This window comes from Homo sapiens, chromosome 8 (genome assembly GCF_000001405.40).
Source record: "Homo sapiens chromosome 8, GRCh38.p14 Primary Assembly".
Taxonomy (NCBI): Eukaryota; Metazoa; Chordata; class Mammalia; order Primates; family Hominidae; genus Homo; species Homo sapiens.
This window is the reverse complement of record NC_000008.11, coordinates 28713004-28737299: the sequence shown is the minus strand read 5'-3', so window position 1 is coordinate 28737299 and position 24296 is coordinate 28713004. Positions and strand designations below refer to the sequence as shown.

Sequence of the window (24296 nt, the reverse complement as noted above, 5' to 3'; positions counted from 1 at the left end):
AGCAGTCAGCATCCTCCAGCCCTTCCAGAAAGAATAAGCCCTAAGTTTGGAAAGGGGATCTCCAGAATGGGGTATGTACAATATCTACTAAGGAGGGCTCCAGAATGGGGTATATACAATAATCTACTAAGCAGCAGAAAGATGATATCAATTTCAATTCTTTTTTTAGCTTATTTAATTTCCAAGAAAGGGCTTGGTGGGATGGCTCATGCCTGTAACCTCAGCACTTGGGAGGCCAACACAGGAGGATTGCTTGAAGCAAGGAGCTGGAGACCAGCCTGGGCAACATAGCAAGATCCTGTCTCTACAAAAAAAAATTTTTGTTTGTAATTAGCTGGGTATGGTGGAGCACACCTGTACTACCAGCTACTTGGGAGGCTGAGGTGGAAGGACTGCCTGATTCTAGGAGTTCAAGGCTGCAGTTAGCTATGATTGCACCACCTCCCTTGGCCTGAGCAACAGAGCAAGATCTGGCTCTAAAAATGAATGAATGAACAAGCATTTTCTAAGAAAGGCTTTGTTTTTAATAAGCATGACATATTAGTTCAGAAGGACATGTATGTAATTTACATATATTGCACACTTTTCTTTTACAGAGAAGGAACATAATAAAAAGGTTTAGAGAGCACTGGTTTAACCACAGAAGACTACTGAACTGCACCACTCCTAATTCCAAATTTGAGCAGGGCTGACGGAGAAACATGTATGATGAGAAGTGGCCTACAGAACCATACAACTGAAAGGTTTCATTAAATGGAAGAAATAAATGGAGACTTCAGTATGTTTCAGTAGAAACTTCTATATCATCTCCAAATTTATAGGTAAATTAGAACAAATAAAATTGGTCCCCAGTTTCACAGGATAAATTGGAGAACTGAAAGCGTTTAAGCTCCACAGGACCTGACAGGCCTGCAGAAAGGCTGCCAGAGATTTAAACTGCCTGCAAACTCCCTCATCACTTACATGGAACTTCAGTTCCTAAGACACAGAAGATTTTATTTCAACAGAGTTCCTCTCCTAATAAGTCTAGAAGCATCTAATCTAATCCAAAAGAGGAGAAATCACAACTTCTATCACAATGTAACAGCCTTCTAGGTGGGTTTTTTTAGACAACTGATTTTTTTTAAATTGTGGCAAAACAAACATAAAATATACCATCTTAATCATTTTTAAATGTATGGTTCAGTGGCATTACGGACATTCACAGTGTCGTGCAACCATCCCTGCCATCCATCTCCAGAACTCTTTCATCTTCCCAAACGGAAACTCTGTCCCCATTAAACACTAATCCCCACTCCCACCTTCCCACAGCCCGGCAGCCCCTATTCTACTCTCCGTCTCTATGAATGACTACCTAGGGGCCTCACATAATGGAACCACAGTATTTATCCCTCTGAGTTGTTTGCACTTCTGTTACGAATAACGCTGCTCTGGCCATTTGTGTATTCCTTTCTGTATGGACACATGCTCTCAAGTCTCTTGGTATACCTTTTCTGTCCCTTATGATTGATTGTATCTGCCTCTTTCTTGGCTACCTAAGTTGAAGTGAGTCAAGATCTATCTTTGCCAGAAGAAAGAATTCTTAGACTTACCCTTTCCTTTGAACTTAGGTCTGTTTCATTCCCATTAAGGTGAAATAAGCAAATTGGGGAGATTAATAAGAGAAAGGTTTTAGATCAAAGGATGCCCAAATGCATGAGAAAAGGGTCAGGGTAGGAAAAGGTTAGGATGTATAGACAGCAATGATAATTCACCAGCTCCATTACCAGAGGCTAAATCTCAAACATGAATGACAGTTAAGAGACACATTAAAAGGCTTCCCATTATTCTCTCACCACCTGCAAATCTGCTGGAAAATAGCACGGGCAAGGTAAGAAGTCCCTAAATCAGGGGCTTGGAAGCTATGTTAATGCCAGCTATGTTAATAGGCTTCAAACTCCTTAAAGCTGGGCTCCTTATCAAAATCATTCTTGGATCTAAGGGTTGGCAGTTCTCCTGTTAACACTCCACGACTATGCTCACCACGCCAGTCCTTCGGCACGCTCCAAACTGCATCACGCTGCAGCATAAACACACTCCCTACCGCCCACCCCCACCACTACCACCTGCAGCAGCAAAGATCATGCCTGGAGTTACTGCATGGCTTTTTTCCTTTCATAAAAACAAGTGGAGAGAGTCAGCTACTATTATCGTGTAAAAAAAATACACCTCGGTTTACCAGGATTTTTTTTTTAATCACAGCTGTCAATAGACTTGGTTCAATAATACACTAAGCAAGAGGTCAAAGGAAATGTGAGAGGCTGGGTGGGGGAGAATAAGAACAGATGTTCTAATTTTTCAGAAATGTGTCAAATCATTCTTTACAGATGGATTTAAGACAGATGAGCAATAAAGCCTCTGCTCCTTTTATCTGAGCATCTGCTCTTACAAGCCTAAGCCAAAGGCAGCTCCAGAGCCAGGTAGGTCAGGTTAGGCCTTCAGTGAACAGAATGGAAGCACAGAGAAAGAACTCTCTCTATCCTGGATCCACACTTAATTTGAAAAAGATCGCCAAAGAAATCTACTCCAGTGTTTTTTTTGTTTTGTTTTGTTTTGTTTTGTTTTAGCTCTGTTGCCCAGGCTAGAAGTGGCATGATCTTGGCTCACTGCAACCTCCACCTCCTGGGTTCAAGCAATTCTCCTGTCTCAGCCTCCTGAGTAGCTGGGATTACAGGCGCACGCCAACACGCCCCGCTAATTTTTATATTTTTAGTAAAGGCAGGGTTTCACCATGTTGGCCAGGCTGGTCTCAAACTCCTGACCTCAGGTGATCCACCTGCCTTGGCCTCCCAAAATGCTGGGATTACAGGTGTAAGCCACTACACCCGGCCTCCAGTGGTTTTCAAATGATGTGGGGAAGAACTAATTTTTCCCCAAAATTATTATAGATTAATACTTTGGTAAAATACAACAAAAATGAACTGCCTGGTTTCTTAAATATGACATCCAAAGCACAAGCAACCAAAGAAAATAGATCCACTGAACTTCAAAACACGAACCCTGTGCTTCAAATAATACCATCAAGAAAGCAAGAAAATAACCCATGGAATGGGAGAAAATTGTGCAACTCCAATCACTGATAATGGACTTGCATCTAGAATATATAAAGAACTCTTATAACGTGATAATAAAAAGACAATCCTGGCCTGGTGCGGTGGCTCATGCCTGTAATCCCAGCACTTTGGGAGGCCGAGGCGGGCAGATCACCTGAGGTCAGGAGTTCGAGACCAGCCTGACCAACATGGTGAAACCCTGTCTCTACTAAAAATACAAACATTAGCCAGGCATGGTGGCAGGCGCCTGTAGTCCCAGCTACTTGGGAGGCTGAGGCAGGAGAATGGCGTGAACTCGGGAGGTGGAGCTTGCAGTGAGCCAAGATCACACCACTGCACTCCAGCCTGGGTAACAGAGCGAGACTCTGTGTCAGAAAAAAAAAAAAAAAGACGACAATCCAAACAAAAATGGGCAAAGAATGTGAAAAGCCGTTTCTCCAAAGAAGATATACAAAGGCTAACTGATCAATAAGCGCATGAAAAGAAGCTCAACATCATTGAGAGAAATGCAAATCACAACTGTATGGCCGGGTGCTGTGGCTCATGCCTGTAATCCCAGCACTTGGGAGGCTTGCTCGAGGCCAGGAGTTTCAGACCAGCTTGAACAATAAAGTGAGAACCCATCTGTACAAAAAAAAAAAAAAAAATGTAAAGATTAGCCAGGTGTGGTAATGTGAGCCTGTAGTCCCCGCTACTCAGGAGGATCACTTGAGCCCAGGAGTTCAAGGTTACCACATGCTAAGATTGCACCACTGCACTCCAGCCTCAGCAACAATGTGAGACCCCATCTGTGTGTGTGTGTATATATACACACATACACACACACACACATTTATATATAAAATTAGTTATCACTTTACAATGACTAGGACGGCTATAAATTTTGAAAATGGAAAATAACAAGCATTGACGAAGATGTGGAGAAGCTAGAACCTTCATACACTGCTGGTGAGAATGCAATATGGGGCTGCCACCGTGAAAAACAGCCTGACCGGCTCAAAATGTTAAAGCAGCTATCATGATCCACCCACATTACTCTTAGGTATCCACTCAAGAGGAATGACATGTTCATACAAAAACTTGCGCATGAAGGTTCACAGCATTATTCATAATAGCCAAGAAATAGAAATGACCCAAATATCCATCAACAGAAAATGAATGAAGAACTGGTACCTGGGCTGGGCACCGTGGCTCATGCCTGTAATCCCAGCACTCTGGGAGGCCGAGGCGGGCAGGTTGCCTGAGCTCAGGAGTTCAAGATCAGCCTGGGCAACATGGTGAAACCCCATCTCTACTAAAATACAAAAAATAAAATTAGCTTGGCATGGTGGTGGTCCATACCTGTAATCCCAGCTACTCGGGAGGCTGACATGAAAGAATCGCTTGAACCTGGGAGGCAGAGGTTGCAATGAGCTGAGATCAAGCCACTGCACTCCAGCCTGCGCAACAGAGTGAGACTCCATCTCAAAATAAAAAAGAACTGGTACCTGCTACAAGATGGATGAACCTTGAAAACATCATGTTCCGTGAAAGAAGAGAGTCACAAAAGGCCATGCATCGTTGTACAGTTCTATTTATAGAAGATGTCCAGAATAGGCAAATCTATAGAGATGCAAAGATTGAGTGGCTACCTAGGACTGAGGGGTTTGGAGAAAAATTGGGAGTGGCTGTTAATAGGTACAGGGTTTCTTTCAGTGGTGATGAAGATTTCTAAAATTAACCATGGTGATGTTTGCACAACTCTGAATATACTAAAACCACTGAATTGTACACTTAAATGAGTGAATTTTATGGGGTATGAATTATATTGAAGAAATGTTGTAAAAAAAAGAACTGCAAGAAAAATAATCATATACTTGGATTTCATAGTAAATGTCAAATTGCTTTACAAGTTTCTGAATGCTTACCCTCAATTTTTGTACTTACCTCACCATTAACAGGTAACAAACTGTCCCTAAACCAACATCCCAGTCCCTGAGATACCTGGAGTAGCCTTCATCTACTCCATCCTCTTCCCTGCAGTGACCCTCAAGTGGGATCCTTCAGCAATTCCTAAGACTCAAGAAGGCAGGAGAGTTGAAGGCCGGGTGCAGGTTGGGAGTGTGACAAACCTGCATTTGAACCCAGAGCTCTGCTGCCACTTTCTAGCTTCTACGTGGTTCTGTTCTCTTCTATCTCAATTTACTCCTACATGAAATGGAGACAGCTACAATTTATGTCATCAAATTTTAGAAGGATGAATGAGATAAGACAAAGTCCTAGGCTAGTCCCTGGCACACAGTACGGGTTCAACATATGTTTACCATCATCATCATCATCATCATTACCACCACCTCCTTTTCCTCCTCCCCTTCTTTTTCCTTTTAAATCATTGCTTCTGACACCCTCCTTCCCCCAAATCTTTTTGGGTCCAGGATCCTGGCACTGTTCCATTGCTCCAACACACAGCAACATGTCACTTTTGCCTTCCCATTCCTCTAAAAACAAAACCCTCCTATTTCCTTTAGAGAACTACCCTACCCGTTGCCTCTACTCTCTGCCCATGTGGTTTGGATTTAAGGATGATACACCTGCAGCACCAGGAACAGGCAGGTAACCAGGGTCTAGCCAATCAAAGAATTCCACCTTCCTGGCCACAGAGGAAAGGCCTGTGGGAACACAGAGCGGAGCCTACAGATGAAGAGAGATGGACTCCTCCAACGCCATCTACGAGCCTGCATCCAGCCACGTCCTACATCAGCCCTGACTATCTGCAAGGGGTTCTCAGTTACCATCAGCCAAAAAATTCATTTTGCAGCCTAATCCAGGTTTTCTGTCACTTGCAACCTAAAGTTTTGATTGGAAATTAGTCTCTCACCGGAACCCAAACATGATTTCGTCATGGCGGAGGTGAGCATCGTCATCAATGGACAGGATGGCCTCTGTCTCAATTTCATTCCAGGGTAAGAATCGGTTGTTCAAACTGTTCTTCTCAGTACGGACCACCTGTGATGAGGAAGGAAAAACATTAAAAATTAAGGCTGTGTTATGAAAGGCCAAACAAAATCTGTATTTAGGTCCAAGGAGACCATGGCTGGATTTACTGAATAATTTTGCCTGATCTCCGCGCTTGTAAAATCTAGCATATGCCTTTCAGGAATAAAAGCTGCCTTATACTTCAATAAATGTATATAGATTTACCTTTTAAGCTTCATTCATTAGTTAGCTAATTTTCTTGTGAATCAAGCAAAAGCTGAAGATTATTTTATACACGCAATAAACACGATGTAGGGAAATTAAAAACAACTCTCCCAAGAGAACACAAGGTGGCAGAGTGGATCTGAGATTCCAATGGCTATGGAATTCCCAGCATGCTTGTTAATTTTAAAACCCAACTCAGAAACCTCATGAGTCTGTCACTTCTGACTCCCAATTCTAACGCCTTTTTGGGATATAAATCCCAAAAAAGAGCACAGCCCATCTGGTCGAGATTAGTTACTTCACCTTTGAAATTCCTACCTACAATGCTGACTACTCGTACACAAACTTTTTCCTTCTTTTCAAGGTATCATGTACTCAAGTACAACAGCTTCTGCGTCTTCAGCAAATCCCAATTCAAAACACATCTAAGTGATTCAACATACATGCAAAGCAGTATTTCCTTCATAAAACAGAAACTGGTGCTTCAAATAGTACAACTACATAATGAAACAATTTTTATTTAACCATATCTCAGTTAAGTATAGTTTACCTACAGTGTGGGTGAGTAGCTGTGTTATTCACCTTGCCACCTAATACTCATATAAATGATGACCACAGCCAGTACTTGGATGGCTCATTTTATTCTTAGAGTGTCTTTGTCTAATTAGTCCAACCAAAGGGGAACCATTATTTTGTTCTCAAACCCCAAAAACAAAGAGCATCTCATGAAGAATAATCTTTTTAGAATGCCACGAAAAATCACCTTACTTCCAACAGACTATTTTACTTGTACTGAGAACAACCTCTACCTGGCATGAATTAACTGCATCCGAGGACTTAAATTTATGAATGGTTTCCAAGGAGCTCTGTGACCTACTAGCATGTCTCTTCAACTTCAAATACCTTCTCTTCCATCCTCCCCCTGGAGGTCCAGTTCAGATGCCTCTTGCCACACCCTCCTTGCCAGGAGAATCATTTATTCTATATTCTTAATGCAGAGCCCTCATACTTCAATTAATTCATTCTAGCACACTTAAAATCCAATTAATTCAGAGCTAGAAGGGCTTTGGAGACTATAGCGTCTGTCACTTTACACATGCAGAAACTGAGGCCCAGAGTGATGTCATACAACTGGCAAGTTGCAAGAGCCAAAACTCTAATTCATAACTTTAAAAAAAAAAAAAAAGCGAGTTCTCGAAGTCTCATCACTATGTTCCCCCCAGGCGTCTCGAACTCCTGAGCTCAAGAGATCCTCCTATCTCGGCTCCGAAAGTGCAAGGATTACAGGCATGAGCCACCACGCCCGGTCCTAACTCATACTTTGATTCCAAACCCAGTCCTTTTCCTGATAAACTTTTGTTAACTTTATAAACTTCTTCAAACCAAAGCCACCATAGAAAATGCTTTTTTTTTTTTTTTTTTTTTTTTTTTTGAGATGGAGTCTCACTCTGTCACCCAGGCTGGAGTGCAGTCGCGCAATCTTGGCTCACTGCAGCCTCTGCCCTCTGAGTTCAAGTGATTCTCCTGCCTCAGCCTCCCAAGTAGCTGGGATTACAGGCGCCTACCACCACGCCTGGCTATTTTTTTGCATTTTTAGTAGAGACGGGGTTTCACCATCTTGGCCAGGCTGGTCTTGAAATCCTGACCTCATGATCCGCCCACCTTGGCCTCCCAAAGTGCTGGGACTACAGGCACGAGCCACTGCACCCAGACATTTTTTTTTTTTTTTTTTTTTGAGATAGAGTCTCACTGTGGCCCAGACTGGAATGCAGTGGTGTGATCTCGGCTCACTACAACTTCCACCTGCCAGGCTCAAGTGATCCTCCTGCCTCAGCCTCCCAAGTAGCTGGAACTACAAGCAGATACCACCATGCCCAGCTAATTTTTTTATCTTTGTAGAGACAGGGTTTCACCATATTGCCTAGGCTGGTCTCGAACTCCTGATCTCATGGCATCTGCCTGCCTCAGCCTCTCAAAGTGCTGGGATTACAGGCATGAGTCACCACACCTGGCCTGAAAATGCATTATTAATCTGTGTACCATCAAGAAAAAACAATGTTGCCAATTAAGAAGGCATGTGAAATTGATGATCCCTTGTTTACTTGATTACAGAACTTAAATTTTTTTTTCTTTTAAGAGATGGAGTCTTGAGTTGTCACCTAGGCTGGAGTGCAATGGTGCTATCATAGCTCACTGCAGCCTAGAGCTCATTAGCTCAAGTGATTGATCCTCTTGTCTCAGCTCCCCAAGTAGCTGGGACCTACAGGCATGCACCACCACACTTGGGTAATTTCAAAAAAAACTTGTAGAGACACGTTCTGGCTATGTAGCCTTGACTGGCCTCAAACTCCTGGTCTCAAGCATTCCCCCTCCCTCAGCCTTCCAAAAAAAGTGACAGGATTACAGGCAAGAGTCAACACTCTTGGCCAGAGCTTTCTTTAAGACTTCACCTCAGCCCCAGAGGAGGTCCTGCCCAACTCAAGACAAAGAAGGATCTGTAACAGATTCGCCACCACAGTTAACAGATGTCCAAGCCAAGCAACAGACCGAGAAATCCACCTTGCCCTGCAGCATGTCTGACCAGCATAAAAATTCCCAAGTGTACAGCCCAGGGTATCCTAAGCTCAGAGTCCACAATGACAAAACGAAGGACCGAGTGAGGCCTAGGTCAGACGAGAGAGCAGCAAGGAGAGCAGATGCCAAGTGCTCACCTTAGCAGCTGTCGGTTCCACTCGCCAAAGGGCGGGAGGGTGGCAAGAAGGGGCCGGACTTGAATGGCAAGCTCAGCAATGGTAAGAGGCCATCCATTGTAAGACACATCTCAATTTCAGAGATGACAAAATGTAAAATAAGGTCCGCCTTGGAAATGACGGCATATGGTAGCTGTTCACAAACTCCCTCAACAAACTCCCCTCGAACATTCACTTTACCTAACACACCTAGCATTCACTCAGTACAGAACTGATTCTGCCAATTCAGCCAAACAAAGCTCCCCCTCACACAGCTTAAAATGAAGAAAAACCACTTCAGTTCTTGAATATTGGCTTGTAGATTATCAGTTTTGTGGGTTAACCTTCAGGTGGATTATCTACAGCACAATTAGTAAACCAGGAATATAGCAAGGAGCTTCAGAGTTCAAAGTGTGAGGCGAAGACCAGCAGCACACACCACCGGAGCCTGTAGGAGTGCAGGCACACCCCAAGCCCACTGAGTCAGAATCTGCATTTTAACATGCCCCTGGGGGATTCCTGTGCACATTAAATGGGGAGAAGCACTGGTACAGAGGGAGAAAGCATGGCTTTGGGGCCAATCAGAAAAGCTTGGGTTCAAATTCCAACTCTTCCTCTTACTAGACGTGTGAATGCCAGCACCCTCTCTGCTAAATCAACATAGCACCACACTGTTTGCAAAATCTGAAGTTACTTATCAGCCAAACTTGACAATCCTATAAACAACCTAACTCTGCACCTGAAAACGAAAAACAAGAAAAACTACAATGATTTGATATCTAGATCATATCCAAAATTATCTAATTTACAAACAACCAAATCAAGAGAACCTACTTGTGCTTTAGAAGACTTAGGTGGGGTCATGCAGCTGGAGGTCAAATATCAAAGTGTTTTGGCCTAGATTTCACACTAGTTTTTTTTAGTAAGTTTATTAAAGTCCATTACTTAGATATCAAGAAGCAACAAGAGAACAACTACTAAGGACTCCAGGAACACAGGGCGCCTGCCATCTCTGCTCACCCTCTGAGCACAACTGCTCTGGGCTGGATGACAACAGCTGTTCAGGTATAGCAAACTGCATTTTAACAATCAGAACAGCAATCAGAATAAAAGGGCCAGGCATGGTGGCTCACACCTGTAATCCCAGCACTTTGGGAGGCCAAGGCGGGTGGATCACCTGAGGTCAGGAGTTCAAGACCAGCCTGGCTAATATGGCAAAACCCCATCTCTACTAAAAATAATTTTTTAAAAATCTAGCCAGGCATGGGGGAGGGCACCTGTAATCCCAGTTACTCAGGAGGCTGAGGCAGGAGAATCGCTTGAACCCAGGAAGTGGAGGTTACAGTGAGCCAAGATTGCACCACTGCACTCCACGCTGGGCAACAGTGATTCCGTCTCAAAAAAAAAAAAAAAAAAAAAGAAAAGAAAAGCTGTTAAAGATTCACAGAAACACAACACCAAGCACTACAGTTTTGTCAGTTAGCTGACAAAACTAACTGCAGTCAGTAAGTCAGCTTTAAGAATTCAGAGCAGTGGTTCTCAACCAGGAACAATTTTGCCTCGGGCTACATGTGGCAATGTCTGAAGGGATTTTTGGTTGTCACAACTGGAGAAAAGGGTGCGCTACTTGCGTCTAGTATCTAGTGGGCAGAAGCCAGGGATGCTGCCAGATCCTATAGTGCACAAGACAGCCCCCACAACAGAGAATTATCTGACCCAAAATGTCACTGTGCCACTGCTGAAACACCCTGATTTAGAGTCAACCTGCAGGAAGACAGTAAACCAAAACAGCACTTGGAAGACTAACTATAGTTCATTACCTAAGATGTTCCCCTTTTCCCTATAGCCGCAAAAAGATTTCTGCCCTCACAAACTTTGCAAACGCCAACTAAAACTAAATGGGTGGAAGAGTAAAAGTTTTCTTCTAACAGTTTTGCTTCAAAGCTGCAGTGCTTAATGGCTAAACAAAAGCTCAGCAAACCAACTATTATCCATTCTGGCACCAAAATCAGAAGAACAGAAAGGCTCAAACATTTCTAAATGCAGGCCGGGCGCAGTGGCTCACGCCTGTAATCCCAGCACTTTAGGAGGCCGAGGCGGGCGGATCACAAGGTCAAGAGATCCAGACCATCCTGGCCAACATAGTGAAACCCAGTTTTTACTAAAAATACAAAAATTAGCCGGGCGTGGTGGTGTGCGCCTGTAATCCCAGCTACTCAGGAGGCTGAGGCAGGAGAATTGCTTGAGCCCGGGAGGCAGAGGCTGCAGTGAGCCGAGATTGTGCCACTGCACCACAGCCTGGGTGAGAGAGCGAGACTCCATCTCGGAAAAAAAAAAAAAAAAACACTTCTAAATGCAGACTCACAGATCAGCACGGCCTCTAAGAATCTGAGAAAAGACAGATCGAACATAAAAGAAACAAGTCAACCAGAGGGACTGTGTCATATTTAGGAAAGGTTCTCATTTTTGTTGATGTTGTTTTGTTTCAAATCAAACCAACACTCTTCCCTCAACCCCACAATACTGGCTATTTCTTCATGTTACTACAGCATATTGCTATTAGATGCCTTATGATTACATCTTAGTAACTTGCAAACAGGAAGACTCACTTTCAAGTGATTGCTTTAATTACTGGTATGACATTAACCAAAATGAATAGACCACAGTGCCTGGCAATATAGCAGATGTTCAACAAATGTTTTATAAATGAATGAATGGGCAGAAAATAGAACATAATTTAGCCCTGCCATTCTATTTACAGAATATGAAATAAAGACTTGAGAAGTTTCTAGATCAAAATTATAGGTAAACATTCAATATCTTTAATAATCTTAAAGAATGATAGAGAGGAATTAGGAAACCTCTTAGTATTTAGTGTAGTTTTCTATAGCAAAAAACCCATCCACCTCCATCAAGCCAGGAGCAATGCCCACTCTTTGCTTGGCCTGTCTCACACACAGGGCTCCCTGACGGTGCCTCGCTAGCTCTTCTGCACAATATCATTCACGGGACCCTTGACCTTCTCCTATCACAAAGGAAAAGGGACAGCAATCGTGGCCTGGAACCTGCCACCTATGAAATTTGGCCATTTAAATACACTTGAAATGCCCCTTTTCAGATTACATCCGGCCCAGCCAAGCCCGACAATCTCCATCCTCCAACAAAACATATATACGTACATAATACATCCCTATAGCAAATCCATATCTGAGAATGAAACTTAACATCAAGCCATCACACAGGCAAGAAAGGAAACAGCAACTGACCTTAGTTCTCCATCATCCCCTTCCTCCAACTTAAAAGAGGAACCATCAGAGAACTCAGGAATGAGGAAAATGAGATCCAGGAAGAGGCACACAGTCATGCCCACCCAGCTCAGGAGGACCTAGGTAACAGAGCTTGAAGTGAGTGGGGAGGGAGGTGAGCGATGGGAGGGAGGTGAGCGACAGAGAGAAGATGATAGAAAGAGGACTACATCATCATCATCATTATTATTATTGAGATGGAGTCTTGCCCTGTCACCCAGACTAGAGTGCAGTGGCACGATCTCGGCTCACTGCAACCTCTGCCTCCTGGGTTCAAACGATTCTCCTGCCTCAGCCTCCTGAGTAGCTGGGATTACAGGCGTCCGCCACTGCACCTGGCTAATTTTTGTATTTTTTTTTCTTTTTTTCTTCTTCTTTTTTTTTTTTTAAAGCAGAGACAGGGTTTCACCATCTTGGCCAGGCTGGTCTCAAACTCCTGACCTCGCGATCCACCCATCTCGGCCTCCCAAAGTGCTGGGATTACAGGCGTGAGCCACCACACCCAGCCAAGGACTACATTATTTAAGGGATTCATTCAATAAACGTCAAGTGATGGGGCAGAAAGCAAGAAAACGCAAAGGAAGAAAAGAGAATAAGAAGGTAACAGTGCATTGGTTTTCCATTTATAACTTTACACAGGGATGTCATACAGTACAAACAAAATTGTACATGTTTTAGATGAGACAAGTCTGTTTTAACTTATAAGAGAAAAAGTTGCCAATGATCCCAGTGCAAGTGCAGGTAAGAAAGCCTAGGTTAGCAGGTCAACAAATGAGAGAATGCAGATAAAGACCATCCACAGTGCCTAGCACACAGAAAATGCCCAAAAACTGTTAACAATTATTATAACATGATATTAGCAGTCTCTATTTTAATTTTCATACATTTTACATGTATATTTCATATTCTGTATGTATTTTAATTTTTATACATTTTCTATATTTTATACATATCTTTATTTAAAAAAACAAGTTTGTGCTTCTCCAAGAAATTTACACGTGGAAAAAAAAAAAGAAAAAAAATACATATCTATTGTCAGAAGTCCTAAGACCTGGTGCTGGTGGTGGCTCACACCTGTAATCCCAGTACTTTGGGAGGCAGAAATGGGCAGATCACCTAAGGTCAGGAGTTCGAGACCAGCCTGGCCACCATGGCAAAATCCTGACTCTACTAAAAATACAAAAATTAGCCAGGCGTGGTGGTATGCGCCTGTAGTCCCAGCTACAAAAGAGGCTGAGGTACAAGAATCACTTAAACCTGGGAGGTGGAGACTGCACTGAGCCAAGATCACACCACTGTGCTCCAGCCTGGGCAACAGCGTGAGACTCTGTCTCAAAAAAAAAAAAAAAAAAACAGTCCTGAGCCCTCATTCTAATACAGGTATCAGTTAGTCAAGTGACCTGAAGCAACAGAATTCTTACAGTCTCAGATTCCTTACTTTGAATTAGTAAAAAGAGTACACATACACTAAGAGGGGAAGACATTACCTCAAGAATCAATTTGCTGCAATTAGTAAATTATGCAACATGACTTTCCAGCAATTGCTTTCAACTTCTGTATTTCTTAGTATTCATTTTTGGTTCGGGGTAGCCTTGTTTTATATAATTTTCCTTTGCAGCCATACAGCCCATTCGCAAACAGAAACCCACAGCTATAGCCACCAAGTTATTAAGTAAAATGTTGTCAAAGAGAAAGACGAACCACCCAGATGTGCCAGCTCCTAGTGAAGTGCACCAGACCTTGCACAGTCTTGGACCTGGAGAAGCTGGACAAGGTTTTTCCTGCTGGCTTCACCTAGCTATCACAATTTTAGGAAATTATCGTCTCATTCGTTCAAGGGATATTTTTAAAAGTAGAGTGGGCAGAAATAAAAAAATACAGCTTACCAACACTTTAAGGAGTAAGCCCTGAGAATGATCTCCACTCTCTTGCCTGAGGTCTAGCCAGAAGCCAAGCCTCTTAGCCTGAGAGGCGGAGTCCCCAGCCAGAAAGTTCCTGACGCCAAGAGTGCACTACGGATGCAGCTTCTCTTCCAGTCTTCCCTTTTCCCTAATAGACTACTGGGGAGAGGATGAAAATAACTCCCCTGGAATGATATTTATATTACCCAAAAAAAGAACTCTCCCTGTTCAATTTGAATATCAAGGGCTGGGACAGAGGGAAAAGGGCATTGAAAAATAATAATCTTGTATCTCTCTTTTTTTTTTTTTTTTTTTTTTAGAGACAGGGTCTCCCTCTATCACCCAGGCTGGAGCGCGGTGGCACAATCACAGCTCACTGCAGCCTTGACTTACCAGGCTCAAGCAATCCCCTCACCTCGGCTTCCCAAGAGCCTGGATTACAGACATGCATGATGCCTGGCTAATTTTTTCTATTTTTTTGTAGAGATGGGGTCTCCCTATGTTGCCCAGGCTGGTCTCAAACCCCTAGGCTCAAGCAGTCCACCCACCTCAGTCTCCCAAAGTGCTGGGATTACAGGCGTGAGCCACTGCGCCCGGCACTATCATTTTCATTTGGAAAAAAAATGGTGCATTCTGACCTCATCACTTCCACAGAGACCTTGCAGTCTGCAAGGATGTGTGCTATGCTGATCTCTGAACTGGTTCTCTCTACCACCGCTCCTCGCCTAGGCTACTGCAAGTCTTTTTGCTTCTGCTCTTTTCCCCATAGTTCCATAAAAATCATGTGCCTCCTCTGCTCAACACCCTCCAAGGGCATCCTAAGGCAGACAGGATAAAACCCAGACTTCCTAACCACGACCTGCACTGTCCTGCACCTGCTGGTCCCACTGCCTTCTCCAACCTCCTTCAAACGCGCCACCCGGATGCACTGGGCATCGCTTCTGGTGCTTGCCATTCCCCATACATCCCTCCAGAATTTACATGGCCTCCTCTCTCGCTTCATTCAGGCTTCTGCTCAAATGTCACCCCTTCTAAAAGCCCCCTTCCAAGGCACCCTGCGTCAATTAGCCATACCCTTTATGAAGAAGAGAATGAAAACCTAAGACTCAGGGACGGGCTGCCAAGAGACTGTCTCAGCAGTCAGTGAGTATACAGTGTGAAGGGAAGTGATGCCTTGAGTGAGCTAGACTACACTGTTAGTAAATGAAAGATGTCCCTTTCCTAACAGCCCACATGTTACAACTCCAAAAGGACAGACTCTAAAACAGCCACCCTACTTACTATTTTCCAGAGTATAAAGCAGAGTAAGGAAGATGTGTAAACTGGTCAGAATAAAGTAGTAACTCAAACCAAAATTTTTAATGGGACTATCTATCAAGAAGGGATTACTTGGCATTTCTGCCTCCAGAAGAGTTCAGTAAGCCCCTGCCAGACCCAGTCCTCCCTCAGATGACAACTATAACCTCTGCACAAAAATACCAAAAAAAGAATTTCCAGAAGGCACTAGAGAGTGAACAAAAGACAACCAATTATGGAGGGGTGCTAAAATTCAGAGGGAGGGAATTACTGACACAGGGAGAATTACTGTTGCTTTCACCCTGAGAGTAGGCCAGAGTTGGTACCAAGAAAGACAGCTAAAACTCTCATACAAAACCCATGGTCTTTCTGGCCTGTAAAGGAAATGTGTAAGGTAACCACAGCCTGTAGAAAGAATGGAGAAAATTCCAGACAGGAGAAAGCCAGAGAGAGGGAGCTCCAAGTTCTGCGTAGAAACTGCTCTGTCTCTGGCCCACCCCTAAGCCATGCATGCTTGGTGCAGGCTGTAAGCAGACCAGCTACATATAAAAGAACTCAACATGAGAGTGGCCATTCACGAGACAGGGCTTTCAGTCTGAGTCAATACAGCTAACCACCTACTAAAACAAAAATATCAACACTTTCCAGAATAAAAATCAAAGAAAACCATGCTAAGGCATACCACAGTCAAACTGCTGAAAACCAAATACAAAGAAAAAATTTCAAAAGTAGCCAGAGAAAACCACACCTTACATATAAGGAAACAAAAATTTGAAAACCACTGATATATCCTCAGAAACAACGGAGGCCTGGAAACAGTGGAACATCTTTCAGGTGCCATGAAAGTGGTGGTCCCCAACATAGTGGAGAGTTTTTCAAAAGGCTAGACCTCAAATCCCTTGGCATAATAATACTCTCTAGTTGGCTTTCATTAGATATCTTTGTTGTTATGCTCCAGGAGCTAAGGGACCTGATCCATGTGTTTACAAAATATACAAGAGCAAGGGAGAGAGCAGACACTCACCATCGCCCCTCTGTTTGGTAGTCCTACCCCATTCAACGGGAGACCCACTTCAACTGGTGGCACTTCTCCCATCTCTCTGCAAGTCCTGTCTCCTTGCCCCGCCACCATCCCATTTGTGCTGAAGTTCTCTTTACACAGAGCATTTCAATCAGGAGTGTTCAAGGGTGGTGGCAATAAAGATCACCTTCACTCTAAGCTAGATCTTTTTATGCAAATAATTATTTAAAAGAATGAGGAATTTTAACATATAAGTCCTATGGGGCACCCCTAAGACAATCCTTCTCCACTTAAAATAGCTGGGGCTCAATACACTTCACAGCCCACAAACACCCAGCACTTATGCCTGTTGCTTAGTGGGAACCTAAACATAAGAGGAGCCCGTATTGCCCAGCACTTTCTGAAATGGCACGGAGGTTCCTGGGTAGATTCACTGATGCCTGGGAACAACCCTGGTGCTAAATTTATAAAAATTAACCTTAGCGTATTGAATTGGCTACGTCTACATCTAGAAGAAAAACCCACTCTGAGGTGTATCACAGTAGTGCCCTTTTTCTATAGCAGAGAGAGCTACCAGTCTCTTTCTAGCTCTGATAGCTGGGTACATCCGAGATGTCAGCAACTTCAACTGTTCCCCAGAACACCCGCCTCTCCTAGATAGAAAGCACAACCACAATATTTACAGGATGGAGTGAAATTCTCCATCTGAAGCTATTTCCTCTTTTTTAAAAGGACCAGAAAAAAAACTTGTATTGCTAATATGAGAAAGCTGTTTAGAATAGCCTATCTGTAAAGTTTCTGGCATTTTCCAATTAGGTATTATTGCGATGGGCTGCCCAATAGTCAGGACTACTTATTTCCCATCAGAGTTTTTAAAAAAAGATTCATTCTGGTAAGTTCTTGATGAATTTCAGTCAACTTAACTGGTATGGCACCAGCTTCTCTACATCCCTATCAAAATCAAAGAAAACTCAGGAAAAATGGAAAACAATGGCTGCTCTATTATTCTACTATTTGAGGAGCATCTATCTTTCACAGAGCAAATGCTTTCTTAATTTCAATGACATAAAGTTGTAACAGAAAGAAAAAAAGTGAACTTTGAGAAGTCTATTAAAAAAATTCCCTATTTACAAAACTTAATATACAAAATACACTGGGATAAAAAGGATTTATAACCCTACAGTCTTTGAATAGCTTCTAATTATAAATTCAATTAAATTTAAAAAAAGATTAGCAGCAGTAAGAAAAAATTTAAAGCAAAGAGGCACTTTGCACAGAAGGAAGTAGGCAGTAACAACTATGACACAAACAGAAATGATGTAGAGAGGATACAAGAAGCCTTTATGAGTGAAGTCAGTTAAAGCTGCCCAGAGCATAGGCAAGACAAACATACTGGCTTCCATCTCCTTTAACATTAAGGGATAAGAAGGAATCAAATAAGTGAGCACCTTTCTAGAATCCTTAGTTGTCTTATCGTAGTTTCCTCTTTAATGCTGAGATCAAAAAAGCTAATTATCAAAGATCACGAAATGACTACTTAATCCCAGGTCTGTATCACTCCAAATCTCATACTTATTACACCATGCTGCTGCTTAGAAAAATAATTCAAATGAATTGGCCTCCCAGTGAAGTACATTTTTTAAAAACCGAGACTTCTAGCAACGTGTGGCCCATCAGACTTTTTGCTACCTTCTGCCAGGAAGTAACTACATATGCAGCAGGTTAAATAGGTGGCAGTCTGCTTAAGACCTGCTCTAAGGCTGCACATTTAAGAGAGATGGTCGCCATCTCTCTCCTAGAATGCCAAGTTTAATTCTGAAGATGGTAAACTCCTCAGAACTAAAGCCCTGTCCTGCATATTTAGCTATTATTTTTCCTGTAAAATACAGCACTTAACCATGAGATGGAGTAAAGAATGAGAAAGAACCTACAAGACACCCTGGAAGGTTCAATTGGAGTTGGTTCTCCAACTCCAAAATATCAAACCCCAACTCCAGTCTTCCAAAAGACTTCTATGAATACCTGGAAAATGACACAGGCCTTCCTAAACCCTTTGGGAGGTGACTAAAGCTGCCGCTTCTGGAATCAGACATACTAAAGCTCAGCTTCTCCATTACTCACCATGATCTTGGGCAAATTCATTAACCTAAGCTTCAGCTCCCATACGAATAAGCTGAAGAAACAGCGATAATATGTCACAAAATGCTTATTATAGTGCCTAGAGGCTAAGTGCTTCCTAAATGGTAGCTTATCATTATCATCATCATCTTGTTATGACATGGAAGTCTACGGGATAACCGACAAGGTTTTGTATATTGAATATAAAATCAGTTTCAGTTTTGGGGATCCTCGATTTAGGAAGTGAGTAACAGCCACAGAACTGCCAAGGCTTGAAAAAGCAGCAAGCAAACCCTTCAGGAAGAAAGGAATCTATACAGGTTTTTCATGAGTATGCATGTATTCTCCTCTGCTAGAAGTTACGATTGCTAAAGTGAAGGAAGTTGGAAAAGGGATTAAGAGTGAAATACTATTTCATGCACCAAAACGAACTGTTCGTTTCTCTATTACCATGATGGGGACGCCAATGTCAGGCCACAGAAGGTCCTCTGATGGCAGCTTGGGAGAATTCCACACCACCACGACCTTGTTCAGGTAAGGGAGGCCATTCAGCCTCTCTAAAGAGTTCATAAGCACTTCCTCCCGCTCATAAGTCAACATCACCACCGTGAACTGCTCTCGGGGAACATTGCCTCCAAGCGCTGCCTGAAATTCCTTGCCAGAACCCCCAGCTCCACCACCAATAGGCCGAAAGCCAGTCCCTGAGCCCAAGAATTTGGCCTCTGAGGGCAACACAGGGTCAAAGGGAGTGTGGGGGAAAAGATGGAAAGGCCCTGGAGCACAGTTCCAGCTGCGGTAAAAGTCAGTGACAGTCAGAGTGAAATTGCGGAGGTATCTGGGTGAGGCGTAGGGCGGCTCCGTCTCCACTGGCCCCAGGTCCAGGTCCCCGTTGTCAGCCATGTTGGGGTCAGTTCCAGCCGCCTTGCCTGAACGGTGGGGGATCTCAGCTGCCGCCTCTTCCCGGATGGGAGCGGCTGGGATCTGGATGCGAGTCCTAATCATAGCCAGCACGGTATTAAAAATACTGTCAGCAGTGGAGAAGTAAGTCTCCCAGAGAAAGCGGCCTTGCCGCCTCATAGCCAGGAGGTCACTATCGGAGAGGCTTCTGAGCAGGAAATGAACCTCGGTAACACGAGGCTTTGGCACCACCAGGGCCGCCTCGTTCCACTGCAGCATGTCCTGGTAGGGAAGCTGGACCTGCTCCCCCAGCACCACCGGGACGGCACCGACTTCCAGGGCTTCGAAGAGCCGTGTTGCACACCCAGAGGAAATAACCAAGCGAGGGTCCCCGGGGGTAATGATGAGGGCGAAGGTGGAGAGCTTCAGCAATTCCAAGCGGTCCTCCCGCTCTCCACACAGTGCCCACTCAGTCGGCAGGCTGGGTTTGGGCTGGTTTTTGCAGGTGAATTCCACCAGGACCTGATCCAGCTTGCTGTCCTGCACCGCCTTCAGGGTGGCAATGATCCGGTCATCGTAGTCGGCGGGAGGGTCGCCCTCCATTTCCTCTTCGAAGGAGCGGGCCTCCTGAAGGCTAGACCTCAGAGACTCAATCTTCTCGCCCTGGAAGGTGAAGAGATATTTCCGCTTCACCGGCACCTGTGGTGGGATTTCCATGAAGTTGGGCTCAGACATGGCATGGACCAGCGGTGATACGACCAAGTCAAAGCCAGGTCTGTACTGGACAGTGTAGAAGGTGGACTGGGCCACCATGGCACGGCCAGTACTGACGTTATAGAGAAGGTTCTGTGTATCTGACTTACGTGACAGATTGATGATGACATGGTTGTGTCCATCCGTCCGCCAGTGTGGCAGGGAATACAACTGCTTCTCCAGCTCAGCAGGCCGCAGCACCACCGGCTCCTGCATCTCTCCCACTAGTATCACGTAAAGGCAGGCGATGTCTGCATTTTCTGTAACATAAACGTTAGCTCGTGCTGTCGCCTGAAAAGCCTGCTTGACCAAGGGATCCAGGTAGCTGCCAAAGACAAACTGGTCACTGTCATAGACGTAGACCGGGAAGCCAGAGGTGAGAGGGCAACGAGAATAATCAAAGCAGTTGTGTAGCCGGCAGCCCCGAGTGGCCTTCGGGGGAGGGAGGCCGGCATCGTCCTTCTCTGGGAGCAGTCGGATGGGCAGGGACAGCTTGGGCTGGTTCTGGGCCATGAGCTCCTTGTAGGAATGCTCGGTCTGGCTGATGACATTCTTGAGCTGGAGCAGGTCCTGCTTGGCGTTCTCAATGCTCTTCTTACAGGCTTCGATCTTCAGATTCAGCTTGGCGATCTCGCTGTTCAGCTCTTGGCGCTTGGCCTCCAGCTGCAGGAGCTCTTCACTCACCGACTCCCGGATGCGGCACAGATCCAGCACGTGCTTCACCTCGCACAGCTCGTTCCCCACCCGGGGACCAAAAATCCGCTTGCCTGCCTCATCAGCCTCATCCAGAGTGGTGAGGTAATAGTGGGCGATGAGCGGGAAGAAGACCAGGATGACAAAGAGCGTGAAGCTGAGCCACGTGAGGCGGATGCGGTTGGACCAGCGCAGCATGCAGGTCTGACCTCCGTTCCCCGCGCCCCCATTCCGCAGCATGGTATAGCCTGTCATGAGTCCTCTGCAGCCTGCCCCCCAGATCACGTCGGGTCACTCGCCATAACCATGGGTTGCTATTCCACAAAACGATCTCTGTTTCACTGACACGTTTCCAGAAGAGTTAGTGTGCTCCCCAGACAAGGCACCAAATAAAATGAACATTTCATTTTCCTCAGCTGCAGCTGAAATGGTCTCTGACCCTATTCCAGCAGATTTTAAGTTCTGGCTGTTGACCAAAGAACATGTCCTTAATCTTTATCAAACGATAAAAGGTGCCACATTCTTGCTGAGATGAAAGGGAGGAGGTACCTGATGATGAAACCCAGGAAAAACACCCTGGAATCAGACAGACTTTTTCAAATGCCATAGCTCTTGTTTCTTGGTTTTGCTGACCAACAAATATGCATAGTGTCTATTCACAGTTATACAGTAATAGGTTAGAACAGAAATAAATGCCAGCTTCTTATGATGCCTTTGCCAACAATCAGGCCTGCAAAAGAAAGAGAACCATGTCAGTCTTGAAGAAGTTATGTTCAACACCCCTGCCACCATACATTTCTAGAAAATGCTTAAATCTTAGATGGAACAATGGCTGGAACACTGGCTGTGTCTCAAAGAACATTATAATGACAATGCAGAGATGTTGTTTGCTGTTTGGTATAGGTCTTTTACTTGGGGTAATAAATGGATAAGTGCCCCAAAAAGCTGCAGTTTACAACCCCTCCCCACTTCTTATTTAACTGGATCTAGAGCGGCATTATAGCCCTGTAACACGATGACCAACTAAATTCATGGGACAAAGATGTCCATGGTCTTTTCTTATCCTGTTCCACACCTGGGCATCATCTTTAGATGAACAGAAATACCTTCCTAGCCAACCTGGGTAGTTTATGTTTATTCCTAACCTATAAGTCTTCTTTGGAAATACTTTACAAAAAAAGACTCTGAAAAGCTCAATTTGTTAAATGTAGAGTTGAAAGGGTTGAAGAGAACTCTTTTGATCTTTATCCAGTAGTAGATGCAGTAATCCTGAGACAAAATGTATTTCCCAGTTTGCTTCTCATTTATCTTCCATTAGCAGACATCATGTGCTCTTTCTTAAAATATAAATAGTAACTTGCTCTTTTAGAAAGAACACTATACTTAGAAATGAGAGGCATTCGTTCTCCTTCTTTGCTGACAGATTTGCTATCAGACCTTGGTTTCCTAATCTTCTAAAATGGAGATAGGTGCACGGAGACGGCAATGCACCACGTTGCTGTGATACAAAGTGCAGTGGATGGGAGGACGCTTGTAGCGACTCAGTCCCTCAGCAACACTCCCAGCCCTGCTCTCTCACCAAGCTTCACTGCCACTGGCTGCAGAGGCTTGCCACTTGCTTTCCCTCAAATTCAACACAGCTAGAAACAAATCATAATATTCTATGCCAGGGAATATTCCCGGTTTCTTTTTTTAATTCTTCCAAAAAATATTCACCATACTCTTAACAGGGCTAAGACATGCTAAGTATAACTGTGGGAGAATCTAGGGTGTATAATCCTTGACCTCATGGAACTTCCCTTACCCTAAGAGATAAGATATAAACAAACAAGGGTACACGTAGCATAAAATGAGTAGGACTTCACAGAGGCACAACCACTTTCTCTAGCTTCTACCTCTGTCAAAGATGTTTAACTATTAAAGGTGTAATAGTCTTCTCTCCTTTTTACCATTTTTATAAACATAATTTTAATTATGTTTCAGAATAAAGATTCCTTTAAACATTCTAACATTTTTTCAAGTAACATTTTATTTCATCGTAACATTGGACATTAAATTTTAATCTGTCAATAAATTATAATAACAATTTCTAAAGACAAGGGGATATTAGGCTGGGCATGGTGGCTCACACCTGTAATCCCAGCACTTTGAGAGGCCGAGGCGAGCGGATCTCCTGAGGTCAGGAGTTTGAGACCAGCCTGGCCAACATGGCAAAACCCCATCTCTACTAAAAATACAAAATTAGCTGGGTGTGGTGGCACGCAACTGTAATCCCAGCTACTCAGGAGGCTGAGGCAGGAGAATCGCCTGAACCCGGGAGGTGGAGGTTGCAGTGAGCCGAGATCGCACCATTGCACTCCAGCCCAGGCAACAAGAGTGAAATACCATCTCAAAAAAAAAAAAAAAAAAAAGAAAGAAAGAAAAGAGGATATTAGAATCAGCTAACAGCAAAGAATGAGAGGAGGGAAATGATGGTGTGAGTCACTTTGTCCATTACAAAGAACACCTGACAAGACATCAGACCTAAAGTTGATGATAATATTACTAAAAGGTTTAAGTATTTGGATAATCTAAACTTGGATAATTAGCAGCTGACCAAATACTCAAATTTACATTATCCTTGTGATTCAAATGTTTAAATCTCTTGCTTTCAAAAGAATCTTCTTTGCACTTATGACCAAATTGTAACAAAGAAACAACAGAATGGAAGAAAAAGAAAAGAAGGCGTAATCACAGCAATCCAGCTGACTCATTCCTTCCTCACCATGTGTTTCAGGACCCTTCCTTCCTCTGACTTGTGTAGCATTACACCTCAGCACACGACTTCTTGAAAGAGTGAACCTCCAGGGCTTGCTCTCCTGATTTAAAAAAAAAAACAAAAAACAAAAATAGAACAGTGACATACTATTAGAAAAATACTCAATACTGAAAGTGCTATTAAAGAACCTATTTACTGTCCCCTATGAAAAGATTTCTCTTATGTACATGAGGTCACCAAATAATTTACTGTCCAAACAGAGACTCTTTGAAGTGGAAAGGGAGACTATTAATAAATACACTGGGACAAGAGGTATACACGGGGACTCTGGCAGGCAAACCGTCCAGACAGACGTTACCTATTTATGTGCTCTAAGGGGGAATAAAACCAAACACTAAAATATGGAAAAGTCCTTACTTGTTGAAAGTATATACTGAGATATTTACAGATGAAATGATATACCTGGAATTTGCTTCAAAATAAACAGGATGAGGGTGGCGGGGAATGTTTGCGGGTAGAAATGAACCCAAGATCGGCCGTGAGCTGACTGCTG

The 24296-nt window shown here is 43.7% G+C and overlaps 1 protein-coding gene across 13 annotated transcripts in view, besides 1 other annotated feature; it reads right to left on the bottom strand.

Moving 5' to 3' along the window:
* Positions 1 to 24296, bottom strand: part of EXTL3 (exostosin like glycosyltransferase 3) — a 148827-nt gene that overhangs the window by 19263 nt on the left and 105268 nt on the right. For 10 of the 13 annotated variants that reach the window (XM_024447096.2, NM_001438401.1, NM_001438753.1 and 7 more), the window contains 3 exons: positions 23750 to 23843; positions 19093 to 21715; positions 5950 to 6077 (listed from right to left, as the gene is read on the bottom strand). In XM_024447096.2, the coding sequence (XP_024302864.1) occupies positions 5950 to 6077; positions 19093 to 21240 (2276 nt within the window). In that variant the 5' untranslated portion in view covers positions 21241 to 21715; positions 23750 to 23843. The remainder of the gene's footprint in view (positions 1 to 5949; positions 6078 to 19092; positions 21716 to 23749; positions 23844 to 24296) is intronic. The other 3 variants (NR_073469.2, NM_001437797.1, NR_073468.2) reach the window with 3 other exon arrangements.
* Positions 10707 to 11206: an enhancer, noted in NCBI's record as "H3K4me1 hESC enhancer chr8:28583611-28584110 (GRCh37/hg19 assembly coordinates)". NCBI's record gives its function as "activates a minimal SCP1, AML or CMV promoter by ChIP-STARR-seq in primed H9 embryonic stem cells {active_cell/tissue: H9 hESC(primed)}" and the evidence as "EXISTENCE:reporter gene assay evidence [ECO:0000049][PMID:30033119]".